At 41.8% G+C, this 21,609-nt stretch overlaps 2 annotated features.

The window, feature by feature from the left end:
- Positions 3,171-4,370: an enhancer, noted in NCBI's record as "CDK7 strongly-dependent group 2 enhancer chr12:33079663-33080862 (GRCh37/hg19 assembly coordinates)". NCBI's record gives its function as "activates an origin of replication core promoter dependent on BRD2, BRD4, P300/CBP, MED14 and CDK7 cofactors, with strong dependence on CDK7, by STARR-seq in HCT116 cells {active_cell/tissue: HCT116}" and the evidence as "EXISTENCE:reporter gene assay evidence [ECO:0000049][PMID:35650434]".
- Positions 3,444-3,644: a silencer, noted in NCBI's record as "peak1671 fragment used in MPRA reporter construct". NCBI's record gives its function as "represses an SCP1 promoter by STARR-seq MPRAs in K562 erythroleukemia cells {active_cell/tissue: K562}" and the evidence as "EXISTENCE:reporter gene assay evidence [ECO:0000049][PMID:32103011]".

The following is a 21,609-nucleotide window of genomic DNA, read 5'->3' on the forward strand; positions in this document are numbered from 1 at the left end:
TTTGAGACGGAGTCTCGCTCTGTCACCCAGGCTGGAGTGCAGTGGCACAATCTCTGCTCACTGCAACCTCCACCTCCTGGGATTCTCCTACCTGAGCCTCCCAAGTAGCTGGGACTACAGGCGCCCACCACCACGCCCAGCTAATTTTTTTTGTGTGTTTAGTAGAGACAGGATTTCACTGTGTTAGCCAGGATGGTCTCGATCTCCTGACCTCATGATCCACCCGCCTTGGCCTCCCAAAGTGCTGGGATTACAGGCGTGAGCCACTGTGCCTGGCCAACTTTGAACAATTTTAAAAAATTTTTATTTTAAGCTCAAGGGTACACGCGCAGGTTTGTTGTACAGATTATTTTGTCACCCAGGTATTAAGCCTAGTACCCATTAGTTGTTTTTCCAGATTTATCTACCTCCTCCCAACCTCCACCCTCCGTTAGGGCCTAATGTCTCTAACTACCATGCTGCGTTTTGATTAAAAGGTTACTGTCCACTGTATTTTATTTTTTTCAGGTGAGAAAGAAACATAAGAAGCAGTTGAGGGACCAGGAACCGGGTCCTCTAGGGATGAGGAGGCATTCTGTTGGATGGTTTTGCAAAATGTTTCCTCCAGAGTCATCTGCCTCATTAACAATGTTTTTTTCTTCAACTTTTATTTTAAGTTCAGGGATAAATGTGCAGGATATGCGGATTTGTTACACAGGTTAATGTGTGCCATGGTGGTGGCTGCACAGAGCATCCCATCACCTAGGTATTAAGCCCAGCATTCATTAGCTATTCTTCCTGATGCTTTCCCTCTGCCCTCACCAACAGGCCCCACTACGTGTTGTTCCCTGCTATGTGTCCACGTGTTCTCATTGTTCAGCTCCCACTTATATGTGAGAGCATGAGGTGTTTGGTTTTCTATCCCTGCAGTGGTTTGCTGAGGATAATGGCTTCCAGCTCCATTCATGTCCCTGCAAAAGACATGATTTCATTCCTTTTTATGGCTGTATAGTGTTCCACTGTGTATATGTACAACATTTCTTTATCCGGTCTTTCGTTGATGGGCATTTGGGTTGATTCCATGTTTTTGCTGTTGTGAATAGTGCTGCAATGAACATATTCACGCATATATCTTCGTAATAGAAAGATTTATATTCCTTTGGGTATATACCTAGTAATGGGATTGCTGGGTCAAATGGTATTTCTGCCTCTAGATCTTTGAGAAATCACCACACTGTTTTCCACGATGGTTGAACTAATTTACACTCCCACTAACAGTGTTTAAGTGTTCCTTTTTCTCTGCAACCTCACTAGCATCTGTTATTTTTTTGACTTTTTATTAATAGCCATTCTGACTTGTGTGAGATGGTATCTCATTGTGGTTTTGATTTGCATTTTTCTAATGATCAGTGATGTTGAGCTTTTTTTCAAATGCTTGTTTGCGACATGTATGTCTTTTGAAAAGTGTCTGTCTGGCTGGGTGTGGTGGCTCATGCCTGTAATCCCAGTACTTTGGGAGGCTGAGGTGGGCGGATCACCTGAGGTTGGGAGTTCGAGACCAGCCTGACCAACATGGTGAAACCCCGTCTCTACTAAAAATACAAAAATTAGCCAGGCATGGTGGTGCACGCCTATAATCCCAGCTACTCAGGAGGCTGAGGCAGGAGAATCGCTTGAACTCGGGAGGCAGAGGTTGCAGTGAGCTGAGATCACACCACTGCACTCCAGCCTGGGTGACAACGTGAAACTCTGTCTCAAAAAAAAAAAAAAAAGAAAGAAAATCACATTTCATTTAAGTCAAGGGGAGGAAGAAAATGTGGTTAAGAGTGCCAAATACTGTAGAGGCAAAGAAAAATGAAAAGTGACTAAAGGATTCTATATGTAACAATTAAAAGAGTCATTGGTGATTTTTTTTGAGACAGACATTTCATAAAATTATAAACCTTTGGGGCTGAAAGGTCCTACAGAGATCTAGCTCTCTTTCTCCTTCTAGGAGAAACTTCTAGGATTCTTTCAAGAATCCTAGAGATTCTTGGGTGTCAATTTTTCCACATTTAAAAAACTGGGAAATGTTTTCTTGGGAAAACTGACACCCAAGAATTTCAGGGGTTTGCCCAGTCTCTAGGAGCACTATCTAATACTCTGTATTTCTTTCAGTTCAGACTTGTGTCTTGTATTTGTCTATTTTTTTAATAAAGAATTTCTGAGCTAATCTGCTTCTTTTTTTTTTTTTTTTTTGAGATGGAGTCTCGCTCTGTTGCCGAGGCTAGAGTGCAGTGGTGTGATCTCGGCTCACTGCAACCTCCGCTTCCCGGGTTCAAGCGATTCTCCTGCTTCAGCCTCCGAGTAGCTGGGACCATAGGCACGCACCACCATGCCCAGCTAATTTTTGTATTTTTAGTAGAGATGGGGTTTCACCATATTGACCAGGCTGGTCTTGAACTCCTGACCTTGTGATCCACCTGCCTCGGCCTCCCAAAGTGCTGGGATTACAGGCATGAGCCACTGTGCCTGGCCTGCTAATCTGCTTTCCGAAGCACATCAATTTAGGGAATGTGAAAATCTAAGAGGCAGATTTTGATAAGAAAAACTGGCACTGAGGGATGAAAGAGAAAAACATTACCCATAGCATGGTTGTGGATATAACAAGTTCTATAATTTTAAAGTTCAAAATGTCTTTTAGTGTCTCCCATCATGCAGAGGCAGTTTCTTCTGTACATCTTATCACCGGAATGAGGTTCTATGTGTTGAGATAGATGAGCAGGGGGAGAAGAGATGGCTTGTAGAGTAGGTAATGTCCATGGATGTTTCCTTTTCTCTTTTATTTACTTTTTTATTTTTCTAGAGATGGGGTCTTGCTACGTTGCCCAAGCTGGTCTTGAACTCCTGGCCTCAAGTGATCCTCCCCTCTCAGCCTTCCAAAGTGCTGGGATTACAGATGTGAGCCACCACACCCAGCATGTTTCCTTTTCTATTCTAGTAGAATGAGGAGGGTAAAAGCTAAAATGCCCAGGGTGGAAGAGTGACTAAGAAGTGAGGAGTGAAGGAGTGTGGATTGACTATCTATTTATAAAACAAGTTTAGCAAAGAATGATGAGAGGTTTCTAGGAGTGGAAGATAATGCAATTAAAAAAAAAAAAAGGGTGAAAACACAACCTTTACATGACATTTCTTGTTCTAGTTCAGTCCTCATTCCTGGGCCCCTTTTAACTAATTTCCTTATTGTTTCCTTTCTTCTTCAGACTCCCTTTGAACATTTACTATCTCTATGAAGTCTTTCCCAACTATAATCATCATATTATATATTTCCGTGTATCCCATACATGACTTTTTAGAATTATGAATAATTATTATATAACTTTATATGTGCAGTTTAAAAAATTTAGTCTTTCGGAGATCAGTATGACTCATGTTTACTGTATCCAACCCTAATACCTCTTACTAGACACACATACACACCATCCCTGATCCCACACATGGGTACTGAAACATTGTTCTTATGTTTTGCCATCTTCTCAAGCCATCTTTAAGCCTTTCATCCATTTGAAACAGGACTGAGCACCCTGTGTGACAAAGTGATAGAAGTTAAGTGAGTCAGATATGACTGGCTGGTGTGGGCTGATTTCTGCTCCTGGAGTCTCAGATGGTTTTGCGGCAGATGCAAATGTTCATCTACCTAAAAAGGCGGCCTGTCTTCCCTCTTGCTAACTGAATCTTGCTTTTTTTGAGGTATTGGGCAGCAGTGGGCTCAAGGAAGTTAGACCTGCCCCATGGTGCAAGGGCTTAACCCCTAACCGATTAAAGCAATCACGTTAGCCTCATTCTTTGCCGGTGGGAAGGGGTGGGCTTGGTTCCGGTTATGGCAATGGAATACAAGGCAAGCCTCTGCAAAGTCTGTGAGAATCATTTTATTTCCTTGATAATAGAGAAAACATTGGGGTTGGGGGTACTTTCTGACTCTTCCTTTCCTTTTTGCTAAGTACATTAGTAGGAGGAAGTACTGCTCGGAGCTATGGCAGCCATCTTGTGACCTTGCAGTAAAAGCCAAGAGAATCTCAGTGACTCTGCCCTGGAGCGCTGACAACTTTGAGCCTCTAAACTGCTTGGGGCCACTTACCTGTAGACTTTTTGCTCACAAAGTTATATCTTTGTGGCTTAAGCCTCTATTCGTCAGACTTTTTTCTTTTTGTAACTTGTATCTGGAAGTATCCTAATGGAAGCCTTGTCTATGAGGGAAGGGGTAGCTAGATGCGGAAAAGGCGAGTTTCAAAGCTGAGTCAATTCAGAGAGGTTGTTTACTAAGGAAAGTTTGAAATAGTGCAGTGAGTGGAAGAAAATGAATTATTGTTGGGGGCTGAGAGTAAAGGGACACAGGCAATGTCGTCAAAGTCTAGCTCATGTCTGGCACACAGTAAATACTTATTATATCTTGAATAAGGGACAGTGCTGAGTCAAATTTAACATGTGTGGTAAGGGTCAGGAAAGTCGGAAGCTAGGAGAATAAAGTACAGGATGAAATTCATTTTAAGGAAAGAGGATGAGTAGCTTAGAAGTAAAGTTTATATGGACACTGGTATGACAGGATATTGAAGTAACCACACAGGGTTAGACAATCGAAGAATATCTCATCTTTTAGGGGAGCTAAAGCTTGCATGTAAGTATAATGCACTGAGAAGATAAATGAGAGGTATAGATAAAGGACTATAGAAATTTAGAGGTGGGGGCCGGGCGCGGTGGCTCACGCTTGTAATCCCAGCACTTTGGGAGGCCAAGGTGGGTGAATCACTTGAGGTCAGGAGTTGGAGAACAGCCTGACCAACATGGTGAAATCCCGTCTCTACTAAAAATACAAAAATTAGCCAGGCGTGGTGGCGTGCATCTGTAGTCCCAGCTACTCCAGAGGCTGAGACAGGAGAATCACTTGAACCCAGGTGGTGGAGGTTGCAGTGAGCTGAGATCGTGCCATTGCACTCCAGCTTGGGTGACAGAGCGAGACTCCATCTCAAAAAAAAAAAAAAAAAAAAAAAAGAAATTCACAGGTGGGAAGGATTTTTATTTGAGTGAATCAAGAAATCAAGATATGATATTTGAGATGGATTTTGAAAAACATGATTTGACATGGAGGGGAGGGGAGAGCTGTGCAAAGTGACAAGAGGAGCAAAGACATGGCGTCAGGGGTGGGAAGTAAGCAATGGGGTGCCATTTCTCTTTTTTGCTTTTTGTCCATTCACTCAAAATCATCTCCTTTCCTTTCTTTTAAGTGTTTAAGGCTTTGTATTTTAACTTCATTAAAAATGCTTAAATTGCGGTAAAATGCACGTAACACAAAAATGTACCATCTTAATCATTTTTAAGTGTACAGCTCGGTGACATTAAATACATTCATATTGTTGTGCAACCATCACCATCATCCATCACCAGAGCTCTTTATCTTGCAAAACAAAAACTCTGTACTATGAAAAAGAAATAAGTCTAGGGACCCCAAACTCATGAAGCCAAAGGGAAAAGTTAAGCTGGGAACTGGGTCATGCAAACCTGCCTCCCCTTTTGGTTCCCAAATAAGATGGCTACAAGATGAAAAGCCACACACCTCCCTGATATTTTGCCCACAAGGAAATTCCTAGTGAGTTCCAAGATCTTTACCCTAAGGTGTTTCTGTTAAAATTTCACCATGGCAAAGTAAAATGATAGTTTATCTTTACAGGTACAGTCATCCCCCTGCCCACCAGCCACAAATGCATATCTGATTGTTCCCCTGCCCCATTTTGTCTATGTCATCTTAGGTAAAAATGCAGATTCCCTGGATTTTTCCTCTGTCCCCTTTGTCTGTGTCATCTTATGTAAGAAATGCAGATTCACTGAGATAGACAAAGGCATGAACGAGTATTTTTTCTTGCCCCCTCTTACATGAAAATTGTGTAATTCTCAATATCCCACCCTTTCCCCTTTAAATTTGTGGCCCCCCAAATCATCTTCAGAGAAGGCATAGACCTATCTTCTAGGCGTGCATCCTTAACTTTGGCAAATAAGCCTCCTGAAATGATTGAAACTTGCCTCATAATTGTTCTAGATTGACAGTACCTATTGAACAATTAGTTCTCTCTCTTCTCAGCCTTTGGCAAACACTATCCTACTTTCTGTCTCTGTGAATTTGACCACTCTAAGTACCTTATATAAGTGAAATCATACAATATTTGTCTTTTTGTGTCTGGCTTATTTCACTTAGCATAATATCCTCGAGGTTCCTCCATGGTGTGGTGTGTGTCAGAGTTTCCCTCCTTTTTAATGCTGAATAACATTCCATTGCACATATACATCGTATTTTGTTTATCTGTTCATCTGTTGATGGATAGTTTGGTTGATTCTACCTTTTGGCTATTGTGAATAATGGTGCTATGAATGGCATATCTCTATGAGACCCTGCTTTCAATTCTTTTGGGTTTATACCTAGAAGTGGAATTGATGGATCATGTGTTAATTCTATTTCCAAGTTTTTGAGAAACTGCCATACTGTTTACTGTAGTGGCTGTATTGCTTTACATTCCCACCAGTGGTGCACAAGTGTTCCAATTTCTTCATATCCTTGCCAATACTTATCATTTTTTAAAAATAGTAGCCATTTCAATGAGTGTGAGGTGTTATTTTATTGGTTTGATTTGCATTTCCCTAATGATTAGTAATACTGAGCATCTTTTTATGTGCCCATTTGCATATCTTCTTTGGAGAAATGTCTATTCAAACCCTTTATTTTTTTTTAAATTTTTCTCTCTGCCTTTGGCTTTTTTTTTTTCCTTTTGAGACAGAGTCTTGCTCTGTCCCCCCAAGCTGGAGTCCATTGGTGCAAACTTGGCTCACTGCAACACTGCAATCTCTGCTTCCTGGGTTCAAGCGATTCTCGTGCCTCAGCCTTCCAAGTAGCTGGGATTACAGGTGCCCGCCACCATGCCCGGCTACATTTACTCATTTTTAAATTGGGTTATTTGTATGTTGCATTTTTTCTTTTCTTTTTAAAAATGCCTGGTGTTGAATATTTAAATCATGTTGAGGCATGTGGGGAAAACTGGCACGGACCACCTGTAAAGCTAGCCCCAGTGGCAGGCCATTATCCAACAGGTGTTCAAGCTCCTGAGTAATGAAATAGCTGAATATCGCAGATGAAGCAGTCTTGATCTCAGATTCATTAGTAGAGGCAATTTAAAGTAGTGGCCGGGAGCAAAACCTATAGAGTCAGATATGCCATCACTTATTTGCAGTGTGATCTTGGGCAAGTCATTCAAACTCTGTAAGTTTTGATTTTCTCATCTGCAAGAAGGGGAAACTAATAATAGCTGTCTCACAAGATTATTATAAGGATTAATGAAGTAATATGTATAATATGAGCTCAGTACAATAGTAAGTAATCAATAGATGATATTATTAATATTGTATTATTTTATCGTTATTATTTTAACCTTCGGTGTTGCTTTTTCAGTACTTACACTTAACTCTTAACTCTCCAGTTCTCCTTAACTTAATCTTAACTCTCCAGTTCTCCTTGGCCATGGCTAACAGATCTCAGTCAGGAGATGGTGGTAGCCATTGGCATATCAGTGAGCTGGGAGTTTGGGAGCTGGTTCAAATACTAATGCTAGTGTTCTCAATGCTTACTTATTGTGGCCTTCTTATTCAACATTGTCTTCTTGGCCATATCCCTACACACATTTTTGACACTATTGAGTAGCCAGTCACAATGTATCCCTGACACAGCCTGATGACTATAGGACAAATAAATATTAAATGGGGTATGTATTATATAAAAGACTCAATATGTAATGGATGTCGTACATGAATGGCTGAGAACTGAGAACTGTTCCAAAGTAGAATAAAATGAGTAGATTTCAATTCACTTTAACTTAAACAAATCAATAACAGCAAAAATAAAATTATTGAGTACTTATTTTAAATATATTGAAAGGCACTAGAAATATAAAATAAAAAATTGAGCATTTATTCTCAAGGAAGTGACAGTTTAGTAAAAGAGAAACATGAAAACAATTACAACGAAGGTCAACAGGCATAGGGATAGGAAAAAAATTACAAGGTAGAGTAACACCACAAAGTAGGGGAATTGGATTGACCATCTAGATAGGCTGGTGAGGTCTTCATGGGGAGGGTGACACCTGATCTCAGAACAAGACAGTTGGGCATCACATGAAAGGAACTCCAGAGAGTGTTGTACATGTGCAGGGTTAACAGGGTTAATAGTGAGATACTAGCTAAGAAATTGGAAATAAGAGTATATTGCCAGGCTGGGCGTGGTGGCTCATGCCTGTAATCCCAGCACTTTGGGAGGCCGAGGCAGGTGGATCACAAGGTCGGGAGTTCAAGACCAGCCTGACCAACATGGTGGAACCCCATCTCTACTAAAAATACAAAAATTAGCTGGGCGTGGTGGTGCATGCCTGTAATACCAGCTACTCAGGAGGCTGAGGCAGGAGAATCACTTGAACCTGGGAGGCAGAGGTTGCCGTGAGCTGAGATCATGCCACTGCACTGCAGCCTGGGTGACAGAGCGAAACTCTATCTCAAAAAAAAAAAAAAAAGAAAAAAAAAGAGTATATTGCCCTCTGAAATTTCAGATAATAGAGTAGAGCATTGATTCAATTTAATACATCTAAGATGGGTTTTGAGGTTCTGACTTCTGAAAAATCTTCCCAAGGGATGGGGCTGCTTCTGGGCAAATAACCCGATGCTCTTCATGAGATGATCTCACTCAGCATTTCCCAAGCCCATGTGCTGCAGAAGACTCTTCCTCAGGATGCTAAAGGTAGTGTGAGGAAGGTCCATGTTCAAATAATTTTGGAAAATGCTATGTTAAATAATGTAATACAACTTTTTAAAGCAAGATCCCTTAAAACAAGTTATGAATCTCTAAGAGGGGATACAGTGTGTAGCAATTTAGTATAGATTTCTTTAAAATCTGTAAGTCTGTGAAGATGTTATTGTTTATGTGTCTTTGTATGGGTCTGTATGTGTTTGCTGGGCGTGCGTGTGTGTGTGTGTGTGTGTGTGTGTGTGTGTGGCCTGTGTGTCTTTGTCTTCCTATTTCTATTTGAGAGTGTATGTGTAATACGGCTTGGCTGTGTCCTCACCCAAATACCATCTTGAGTTGTAGGTCCCATAATCCCCATGTGTCATGGGAGGGACCCGGTGGAGGTAATTGGATCATGGGAGCGGTTTGCCCCATGCTGTTCTCGTGATAGTGAGTGAGTCTCATGAGATCTGTTGGTTTTATAAGCATCTGGCATTTCCCCTGCAGGCACTCATTCTCTTTCCTGTCACCCTGTGAAGAGGTGCCTTCCGCCATGACTGTAAGTTTCCTGAGGGCTCCCCAGACATGTGGAACTGTGAGTCAATTACACCTCTTTTCTTTATACATTACCCAGTCTTGGGTATTTCTTCATAGTAGTGTGAGAACTGACTTATACAGTGTGTGTTTGTCGGCGGGGGGGGTGGGGTGGGGATGGGGGGCGTGTGCACATGGGTATGTCTGGATGTGTTTCTATGTGTCCCAGGATGGTATTTTTATGTAAATATGGAGGAGACCAGATTGGGAGTAAAGACAAAGAAAAAGGAAAGCAAGTGTCACCATGGATGTTGGAAATTTCAAGGTATAATGTAAAAAGCAAGATCCTACTGAGACAATTGGGTTAAGTCTGCAATGTATTTTGCTTTAAAATGAATAATGAATTAGAGATAATTTGGTCTGTGCATTTAGTACTGGTTAAAATAATGTTTTTATTTCTAACATTAAACTGTCTCCTTAAGCATGATAAAGTAATTGAGTAAAAAATAACTAAACTCGCCTGGGCATGGTGGCTCACGCCTGTAATCTCAGCACTTTGGGAGGCCAAGGTGGGCGGATCACCTGAGATCAGGAGTTCAAGACTAGCCTGGCCAACATGGTGAAACCCCGTCTCTACTAAAACTACAAAAATTAGCCGGGCAAGATGGCGCATGCCTGTAATCCCAGCTACTTGGAGGCTGAGGCAGGAGAATGGCTTGAACTTGGGAGGCGGAGGTTGCAGTGAGCCGAGATCACACCACTGCATTCCAGCCTGGGTGGCAGAGCGAGACTCCATCTCAAAAACAAAAACAAAAACAAAAACAACCAAAAAAACTCATTTCTCGGAATAAATATTCAGCATATATTTATTGGGTATGTACTGTATGCTAGGCATTGGATATATATCCAATATATATCTAGATATATATCTAGATATTGGATATTTTATATATCTAGATATTGGATATGTTATAACAAACAAGAAAACTTCTTGCTGTTATTTCATGAAGCTCATATTTAGGGGGCAAAAGAGACAGTAATCCAATGACTATATAAATAAATGATGTATGGTGTTAAGTAAAGGTAATAGCTATGAAGAAAATATAGCAGGTAAGGGGTCAGAAGTGCCAAGGTTACTATTTATGTTACGCATTCTGTGGTGCCTTAAGTATAATTTTCTTCATTTTTTTTTTTTTTTGAGACGGAGTCTCACTCTGCCGCCCAGGCTGGAGTGCAGTGGCGTGATCTCGGCTCACTGCAACCTCCACCCCCCCCAATTCAAGCAATTCTTCTGCCTCAGCCTCCTGAGCAGTTGGGATTACAGGTGCCTGCCACTGTGCCTGGCTAATTTTTGTATTTTTAGAGGAGATGGGGTTTCACCATCTTGGCCAGGCTGGTCTCGAACCCCTGATCTCGTGATCCACCCACCTGGCCTCCCAATGTGCTGGGATTACAGGCGTGAGCCACTGCGCCCAGCCCATGTTTTTTGTGTTTGGGGTTTGTTGAGCTTCTTTGATGTATGGATTTACAGATTTCACCAGATTTGAAAAACACGTAGCCATTATTTAAATAATTCTTCTCTCTGCCCCACCCCCTTACATGTATGTTAGGCTGCTTGAAGTTGTCCTGCAACTCACTGATGCTCTGTTTCAGTTAATTTTTAGTCTTTTCTCTCAGTATTTCATTTTAGTTTCTATTATTATGCTTTCAAGTTTACTAATATTTTCTTTGGCAGGGTCTAATCTGCTATTAAGCTTAACTGCTATATTTTTTATTTGATATGTTGTATTTCATCTTTTAAAGTTTGATCTTTTTTGTATATGTCTTTCATTTCTTGACATACTCAATCTTTACCCCCTTGAACATAAGAAATATATCATATATGTATGCTTTAATGTCCTTGTCTACTAATTCTATTGCTTATACCTTTCTGAGTCATCCTATTGATTGATCTCCTTACTGTTGGTGGTGTTTTCCTGATTCTTTGCTTGCCTGGTGATTTTTTCTGGGTCCTACACATGCTGAAGTTTACCCATTGAGCACTGGATATTTTGTATTCCTATCAATGTTCTTGAACCTTATTCTGGGATGCAATTAAGTTGCATGGAACAGTTTAATTATTTTGAGGCTTGATTTTAGCCTCTGTTGGGAAGCACTAGAGCAGCTCTTAGTTTAGGACTAACTTGGCTTCACTATGGAGGCCTTTTCTACTGGGAGGGAATGAATATTTCCTAGCCTGTATGAGTTCTTTTCCCTCTGCTTTTCTTTGGTTGTTTTTCCCCTGGTTTCAAGTATTCCTCACACACACGTGCTGATCAGTACTCAGCTGAAGACTTGAGGGGTCTCTCTGCTGATCTCCAGAGTTCTCAGCTCTCTCTCCTCTGGTGTTCTGCCCTATGAACTCTATCTGCCTTCCTGGGCTCTCAGTTCTGTCTCTTCAGCTTCAAGTAATCCCCAGGCTTCTCCTGGGTTTCTTTTTCCATGTTGTGGTCTGGAAACTCTTCAGGAAGGAAACCATGGGCAATTATAGGTTTTATTTCACTTGCTCTTCCTTTCTCAGGATTAATGTCTTTTTACATTTTTGTTTTTTTATTTTTAGAGACAGAGTCTTGCACTGTTGGCTCAGTCCAAGTGCAATGGTGCAATCATAGCTCACTGTACCCCTGAACTCCTGGGCTCAAGTGATCCTCCCACCTCAGTCTCCCAAGTAGCTGGGACTACAAGTGCACACCACCATGCCAGGTTAGTTTTTTTAATTTTTTGTAAAGATGAGGTCTTGGTATGTTGCCCAGGCTGGTCTTGAACTCCTAGGCTCAAATGATCCTCCTGCCTTGGCCTCCCAAGGAGAGCTGAGATTACAGACGTGAGCCACCATGCCTGGCCTTTAAGGTTTACTGTTTCATGTTGCCTAATGTCTAATATCTGAACATCGTTTTATACATTTGATCTTGTTTTTTAGTTATTTGAGACAGGAGAGTATATCCAGTCCCTGGTCATGAGGACTCTCAAGCATTTGTATATCTTCTTTGGAGAGGTCCACACGGTGAGGAACTGAGGCCTCCTGCCAACAGCCAGCATGAAATTGCCAGTTATGTAACTGAGCCAACTCTGAAGCAAACCTTCCAGGTTTCAGATGGCTGTAGCTGCATCTGGTATCTGGACTGCTACCTCATTAGAGACTCTCAGCCACGACCACCTAGTTAAGCCACTTCCAATTTTCTGGCCAATGGAAACTATGTGAGATAATAAATGTTGATTGTTATTTTAAGTTGCTAAGTTTTGGAATAATTCATTATGTGGCATTAGATAACTGTTACAGATTAGAAGTGAAGTGCTGTCATAACAAAAATTAAAAATGTGGGAGTGGCCTTGTGCAGTGGCTCACACCTGTAATCCCAGCACTTTGGGAGGCCGAGGCAGGCAGATCACTTGAGGCCAGGAGTTTGAGACCTGCCTGGCCAACATGGTGAAACCCCATCTCTACTAAAAATACAAAAAATTAGCCTGGTGTGGTGGGTGGGCACCTGTGATCCCAGCTACTTGGGAGGCTGAGGCAGGAGAATTGCTTGAACCCAGAAGGTGCAGGTTGCGGTGAGCTGAGATTGAGCCACTGAACTCCAGCCTGGGCAACAGAGCGAGATTCAGTCTCAGGGATCAAAAAAAAAAAAAAAAAAAAAAAAAAAGAGCGGGAATGGCTTTGGGAACTGGCAGTGGGCAGAAACTGGAAGGATTGTGAGGAGAGTGTAACTCAAAGCCTGAGGTGTCTTGAAGAGATGCTTGATAGAAGCTTGAAGACCTTTCAGAAGACTGCCAGTGAGGGCTTCCTGGAATGCGGAAAATGTTTCTGGAGAAATGAGACTGGAGAAAAGCGGGTCCTTGTTGTGTAGTGGTAAAAAGTATAACAACACTGTCACCTGAGGTAAGACAGAGAGTAGAAAATATACCTAATGAAGTGGTTGACCTAGTTAGGGAGATTTCCAAACAGAGTGTTGAAGGTCCTTCTTTATAGTAAAATGAGAGGGAGTGGGAGACGTGACCTGCTATGGGCCATGGATCTTGGTGTGGTGGGGGCCAGGGCTAAAAGGCATATGCCTGGCTCTCCTGCATTAGAGGGAGGGAGAAAGAAATAGGTGGATTTAACACTTAACAGGTTCTTGTTTGTCTGTCTAGGAGTAGAAAAGTATGGTGCGAATTCTGCCATCTTTTGTTTAATAGATCCTGAGATTCAGCTCTGCCTTAGAAGTTTCAGGAATATTGGGCTGGTCATGGTGGCTCATGTGTGTAATTCCAGTAGTTGGGGAGGCCAAGGCAGGAGGATCACTTGAGCTCAGGAGTTCCAGATCAGCCTGGGAAACAGGGTGACCTCGTCTCTACAAAAAATAAAAAAATTAGCCAGGTGTGGTGGCACATGTCTGTGATCCCAGCTACTCAAGGGGCTGAGGTGGGATGATTGCTAGAGCCAGGGAGATTGAGGCTGCAGTGAGCCTTGATTCTGCCACTGCACTCCAGCCTGGGCGACAGAGCGAGACCCTGTCTCAAAAAAAAAAAAAATCTGTAAACATGAAGAGAGAGACAGAGAGACAGAAAGAATGTGTGTGTGTGTGTGTGTGTGCACTGTGTGTGTGTGTGCTGTGTGTGTTAGACAAAGGCCATTTCTTGGTGATCTGATTAACTTAAGTTTGTGGTTTTTCAGATTTTAACGCAAGTTTCAGAGCTTATGAATAATGCTCTATTTAATGAATTCATTATTATATGAATTTCATTATTCTAATGAAATAAATTTATTTATTTATTTGAGATGGAGTTCCGCTCTTATACCCTGGGCTGGAGTGCAATGGCGCAATTTCAGCTCATTGCAACCTCTGCCTCCCGGGTTCAAGCAATTCTCCTGCCTCAGCCTCCCGAGTAGCTGGGATTACAGGCATGCACTATCACAGCCGGCTAATTTTTGTATTTTTAGTGGAGATGGGGTTTCATCATGTTGGTCAGGCTGGTCTTGAACTCCTGACCTCAGGTGATCCGCCCACCTCAGCCTCCCAAAGTGTTGGAATTACAGGCATGAGCCACCGCACCTGGCGCTTATGTAATTTTGAAAAGAGAAACACGAATCTATTCCCTGCTCGTTTCCTTCCATCCACATTGACAAAATGGATTTTCCTGGATGTAGGAGTGCTTTGCTTATAAATCAATTAATTCTTGAAATATTCATGATATTACATTCCATTGTGTCCCTTGTGTTTGGAAAATATCTACAGCTGCAGAATGGGGTGTGTCCTGGAGAGCTTCCTGTATGCACTGATGATCATAGTCTTTAGCTTAAACATATTGCTTTTTGGTTATTTATGCCAAATGGAGGACATTCAAAATATATTCTTTTCCACATGCTAACATATCTGAGGTGCTGAAGTCACCTGTGACAGTTTATAATCGTCTCTCCATGTTTACTGGGGCTCCGGTTTAATGTGACCTTGGGACTGCTGATTATCACAGGAGATGTTAGAGGACAAAATACCAATATAAGGGTCTCAGTCTCTTTCTCTGTGCAGCCCATTGCTTCAGATAATGAAAATAAATTTTCTCAGGACCTTTTCTTGTGATATATCCATATTCTAAGCTGAAGTTATGTTTATCACACATGCAGGAAATTAAAAAACAACAGCAATCATAGACTGGATTGTTTTATCTCCCTTGTCAAAGGAATATTCTTTATTTCTGAGCCGGAATAAATAAAATACTTCCTCATGATAAGCCTGAAACAAGTTAACCCCATCGTGAGAGTAAGTTAGTAAAGTTCCTGCCAGCTCAAATCTGCCTCTACGCTCTGTCCCCATAATTACGTTTTGCAGGTTAGATGTTTGAAATTGTTCACACCAAGGTTAATATTAATAGATGAAAATAATTCCTGAGTTAAAGAATTCAGGTGGGTAGGGGATTAATCTGTGCCTTGATTGTTATTCAGGCAGTTGGAAATCAATGTGGAAATTATGCAAAGAGAAATTACTCCCCAGTAGGTACTTTGTGAAAAGGTTGTGCTGTATCAAATGGCACAGGTAATAGATACCGCATGAATTTAAGATGCAAGTGAGGCTTGAGTCTCACAGGGAGATGGAAGTGCCTGGATGACAGAATGATAAGTGGCTGCATTAAGCATTTTAAATACTTAATTTTCACCAAGTGCAAAAACTGAATGATCATGTCTCCTTAACAGCTATTGGCTTCCATTGATGTCATTATTTTCTGACTATGATTTAACATGAAAGATAAGTATGTTTTCCAGTAAGCATCCATTCTGATAAATAGAAGCATAAATGAGCAGTAAATCCAAAGGGAAAAACATAAACAAATTAAGTAGGAAAACCATCTCTATCCCTGCCTATAACTGGAAACCCTAGTTGATGTTGCAGTTCTCTAACATGTATTTCCTGATTCAGAATTTTGGTAAAGTAGTAGCCTCATAGTTCCTCTTGGTAAAATTAATATTTGAATGTATATGTTATAGAAACATGAATATACTCTTTTTTTTTATTTTTATTTTTTGAGACGGAGTCTCACTCTGTTGCCCAGGCTGGAGTGCAGTGGCGCAATCTCGGCTCACTGCAACCTCCACCTCCAGGGTTCAAGCAATTCTCCTGCCTCAGCCTTCAGAGTAGCTGGGATTACAGGTGTGTGCCACCACGCCCTGCTAATTTTTTGTATTTTTAGTAGAGACAGGGTTTCACCATGTTGGCCAGGCTGGTCTCAAACTCCTGACCTCAGCTGATCGCCCAACTTGGCCTCCCAAAGTGCTGGGATTACAGGCATGAGCCACCACGCCCGGCCTGAATGTACTCTTAAATGGAGGTCTGTTATAGGCTGAATCGTGTCCCCCCAAAATTCACATATTGAAGTCATAACCCTCATTACCTCAGAATGTGACTACATTTGGAGACAGAGTCTTGAAAGAGGTAAAATGAGGTCATTAGGCTGGACCCTAATCCAGTATGACTGGTGCCCCCGTAAGAAGAGCATGTTAGAACACGGATATGCACAGAGGGGGAGATGGTGTGATGTCATAGGGAAAAGGTGGTTATCTGCAAGCCAATGAGAGAGGCCTCAGAAGAAATAACCTTTTTGCACTCTGATCTTGGACTTTTAGCCTCCATAATTGTGTGAAAATAAATTTTTGTTTAGCCACCCAGTCTCTGCACTTCTTATGGGAGCCCTCGCAAACTAATATAAGGTTTCAAATGAGAAGGAATGGGAGAGTCTAGGAAAACTGATATCTCTGGAGAGGTTTACATTTTTCCTGTTTGTTGGGGGAGGTAGGAAATGAAGGATAGGGTAGTTGAGAGTGAAATTCTCACATTTCAGTCAACAATGCCATGATATGGCTATGATCTGTCACTCTCCTTATTCAGGAGATGCCTGGGCATAAAAAGGAAAAAAGATCAATATGTTTTGAAACCAAAATATGTCCAGTAATACAACTCATTTTAAGCACAATGAAAAAATTGCAGAGCAATAGTATAGGATGACTCCATTTGTATGTAAATTTAGATTCCTGTTAGTGCCTATGTTAGACACTGAAAAAGTGTTCCCAATTAAGCATGGAGGGGTGGTAAAGTTCTTACTTAGTAAAGTAAGAAAATCTTAATCTTGCGAATAGAGTCAAACATGTATGATATAGTTTGGATATTTGTCCGTGCCCAAATCTCATGTTGAATTGTAATCTCCAGTGCTGGAGGTGGGGCCTGGTGGGAAGGAAGTGCTTGGGTCATGGGAGTGGATCCCTCATGGCTTGGTGCTGTCTTGGAGATAGAGAGTGAGTTCTCTGGAGACCTGGTTGTTGTAAAGTGTGGCATCTCCCCCTCCACTCTCTCTCTCTCTCTTGCACCTGCTTTCCCAATGTGATGTGCCTGCTCTCCCTCCTGCACCTTCTGCCATGATTGTAAGCTTTCTGTGGCCTCCCTAGAAGCTGAACAGATGCCAGCACCATGCTTCCTGTAAAGCCTGCAGAACCATGAGCCAATTAAACCCCTTTTTAAGATAAATTACCCAGTCTCAGGTATTTCTCTCTTTCTTTCTTTTTTCTTTCTTTTTTATTTTTTGAGACACAGTCTGGCTTTGTTGCCCAGGCTGGAGGGCAGTGGCATGATCTTGGCTCACTGCAACCTCTGCCTCCTGGGCTCAAGTGTTATAAAAGCTTATTTAACAATTTACCTCTGGCTGATATTGTTTGTTTTGTTTGTTTGTTTTTTTAATTTTGAGACAGGGTCTTGCTTTGTTGCCCAGACTGGTCTTGAACTCCTGGGATCAAGTGATCCTCCCTTCTCAGGTGGGATTACAGGCATGCACCACTGTGTCCAACTTGACGTAATTCTTTTTTTTTTTTCTTTCCTGAGACAGGGTTTTGCTCTTGTTGCTCAGGCTGGAGTGCAATGGCATGATCTGGGCTCACTGCAACCTCCGCCTCCCAGGTTCAAGTGATTCTCCTGCCTCAGCCTCCCTAGTAGCTGGGATTACAGGGATGTGCCACCACGCTCGGCTAATTTTGTATTTTTAGTAGAGACAGGGTTTCTCCATGTTGGTCAGGCTGGCCTCAAACTCCCGACCTCAGGTGATCTGCCCGCCTCGGCCTCCCAAAGTGCTGGGATTACAGGCATGAGCCACCGCACCCGGCCCATAATTCTTTTAAATATGTATTTTGCTGGGTGCGGTGGCTCACGCCTGTAATCCCCGCACTTTGGGAGGCTGAGGTGGGAAGATCACGTGAGTCCAGGAGTTTGAGACCAGCCTGGGCAACTTGGTGAAACCCGTCTCTACTAAACATACAAAAATTAGCCAGGCGTGATGGTGCCTGCCTGTGGCCCCAGCTACTCAGGAGGCTGAGGTGGGAAGATTACCTGAGCCCAGGAGGTCGAGGCTGCAGTGGGCTGTGACTGTGCCACTGTACTCCAGCCTGGGTGACGGAGTGAGACCCTGTCTCAAATGAATAAATAAATAAAATTAAAAATAAATAAATAAATAAATGAATAAGTGTTTCAGCATTGGAAATAAATCTGGTGGTAAGCTAAGTGTACATTGATTTCTGCAACTGAGTTCTTACTATGGGTTAGGCAATATTATAGGCAGGATAACATGTGGAGAATAAGACAGACAAGGCCTCTAATTTACAGTCTATATTCTAGGGGTGCTATTGGTAATGAAGTATATAATAGTCAGTGAATATACAGTGTAATCTGTTATGACATTATTCCCAGAATCCCTGTCTAGGAATCATTGAAAAGGAATTACATTTTCTAGACATGGGCATTAGCAGAATGCTGGACTTAACAATATTTTCTCATGTGACAATAGGCAAGTTTCTTCCTCTCTATCTCAAAATTTCTTTTAGAGAATAATCTATTTTCCATTCATCATAATTTTAAAATGGACTATCATTAGGGCCTTTAATTCTTTAATTTGTAGGCTGGCAATGGAGACTGGTTAGGACCTATATTAAATGATAGTCCACAGGCCACATGATGCTTGTTTATCAATTGGTAGATTTTATTTTACCTTTAATAATCACCATCAGGAGGTTTCCTTTTTTTTTTTTTTTTTTGAGATGGAGTCTCGCTCTGTTGCCTAGGCTGGAGTGCAGTAGCACGATATTGGCTGACTGCAACCTCCACCTCCTGGGTTCAAGCGATTCTGCATCAGCCTCACGAATAGCTGGGATTACAGGCGCATGCCACCACGCCCGGCTAATTTTTGTATTTTTAGTAAAGTTGGGGTTTCATCATGTTGACCAGGCTGGTCTCGAACTCCTGACCTCAAGTGATCTGACCTGCCTCCGCTGTTTAAAGTGCTGGGATTACAGGAGTGAGCCACCATGCCGGGCAGGAGGTTTCCTTTTTAAAAAACATTTTAAATGGCTACAGGCATGTGCCGCCATGCTTGTCTAGTTAAAAAAACAAACAAACAAAAAACATTTGGTCCAGCGCAGTGGCTCACGCCTGTAATCCCAGCACTTTGGGGGGCCGAGGTGGGCAGATCACGAGGTCAGGAGATTGAGACCATTCTGGCTAACACGGTGAAACCCCGTCTCTACTAAAAATACAAAAAAGAAAAAAAAAAGTTGGGCATAGTGGCAGGTGCCCGTAGTCCCAGCTACTTGGGAGGCTGAGGCAGGAGAATGGTGTGAACCCAGGAGGTGGATCTTGCAGTGAGCCAAGGTGGCGCCCCTGCACTCCAGCCCAGGCGACAGAGCAAGACTCCATCTCAAAAAAAAAAAAAAAAATTTTTTTTTAGAGATGATGTCTGCTATGTTGCCCAGCCTGCCAGACTGGTCTTGAACTCCTGGGCTCAAGTGACCCTCCTGCCTCAGACTCCAGAAGTGTTGGGATTACAGTCACGAACCACTGTGCCTGGCCAGGAGATTTCTTAAAAGAATATCCATGTCCAGTGGAAAGGGATAGGCAGCTAAGTCTTGAATAGTTAAAGTCTTAGTGTGCATACATTTTTTGATAAAAAATAATTGAATTACTTGTCATCTCATTACATTGAAATGAGGCACACATTCGTAAGTGCCTCATAAAGGAAAACCAGTAATGACAAGACATGAAATGTATTGAGTAATTTACCATACTCCAGGTACTCTGCATTTCAGTTTATTGACTCTTCACAACCACTGTAGGATTTAGGGACTATTATCAGTCCTGTTTTTCACATGAAGAAAGTGAGGCCCAGAGAGGGGTTAAGTAACTTTCTCAAATAAAAAATTTACTTGGCCATGCACAGTGGTTCTTTCCCGTAATCACAGCACTTCAGGAGGCTGAGGTGGGAGGATCGCTTGAGCCCAGGAGTTTGATACTAGCTTGGGCAACAACAACAAAAGTAGCTGGGCATGGTGGCATGTGCCTGTAGTTTCAGCTACTCAGGAGGCCGAGGCTGGAGGATTGCTTGTGCCCAGGGGGAGTGAGGCTGCCAGTGAGCCATGATCACAGCACTGTACTCCAGCCTGGGCAACAAAGCGAGACTCTGTCTCAAAAAATTTTTAAATGATGTTTCTCATGTTACTTCCTCAAGCTGGCATATGAGTTTATTTTAGGTGACCAGCTATGCTGGTTTGCCCAGGATCGTTCTGGTTTTAGCACTGAATGCTCATGTACTAGGAAAACCTTCAGTTGCTGGCAAACCAAGATGGTTGGTTACACAGATATTTCTTTTAATTATTTAAATCCTGTGTTGATTAGACTGTTGTTACAGGAGGGTGCTTCACTAAAGTCATCCTCACAAATGGTTGCTCATTCTTCTTTCAGGGTAGGAGTCCCACTGGATTCTCTAATCCAAAGCCTATTTCAGTATTATGTCAAACCTCACTCATTTTCATTCTATTTACAGTGACTCTTTGTTTATAATGAATGTTAACTTTGGCATAAAATGTTTAAGTAGGAGCATCCTGAAGAGCCTACTCTGGGGCATGGGGATGTGGAGATAAGCCAGAAAAGGTGAGTCAGTACAGAATGGCGTAATACAAGAAATGTCCCCAAGGGCCAGAGTAGACAGTGAGGCCATCACGTAGACATCACTGTTATTCAAGTCTGCTGATGATCAGGTGTTCATTTCTGCTGCCTGAAGTCAACCTGACTAGTAACGTTTTGAGATTCTCAATGGGGAGTAACTCTAGACAGAGTCTCGAACATGTGGGACGGTATTGAAACTACAAGTTTAAACTTGATATGTGGAATACGTTAAGATTATTAGACAACATATCAGTAATGGAGTGTTAGCTTCAGTGCTAAGTGGGAAATTGAAGCAGTCCTATTTGTTGTTGATTGCCATTATCTAGTGTCTTTCATTTACCCAACAATTATGTGTTGAGTAATTTCTGTAGACAAGAAACGATGTTGGTGCTAAAACGAATATAAAATGGAATGAGATTCTGTCCCTTTCCTCAAGTAGCTTATGTCCTAATAAGGAAGATGATGCATTCTCCTAAGTAACCAAGGAACCTCTACTTCAAGGAATCTCATGGAAAGAAATTATAACAATTAACTTATTGGGCATATTGTGGAGGGACTGATGTCCAGATTAAAAATTTAAACTTTATTTAGTAGGTGGTAGGAAACTATAATTGCTCTTCATCTCACTCTGATATGCAGATTCATTTGTTATTATCCATCTTTCCTCTCTAAAATGTAAATTCCATTGCAGTTGAGACTTTGTTTTGTTTTATCGCTGTTATTGCCAGCACCCAGAACCTGGCACCTGATAAATTCTTAAATATTTGTTCATTGTTGGATGGATTACTCCAGAGGTTCTCAAACTTTCTTTGTTCGTAG

Source organism: Homo sapiens, chromosome 12 (genome assembly GCF_000001405.40).
Source record: "Homo sapiens chromosome 12, GRCh38.p14 Primary Assembly".
Taxonomy (NCBI): domain Eukaryota; kingdom Metazoa; phylum Chordata; class Mammalia; order Primates; family Hominidae; genus Homo; species Homo sapiens.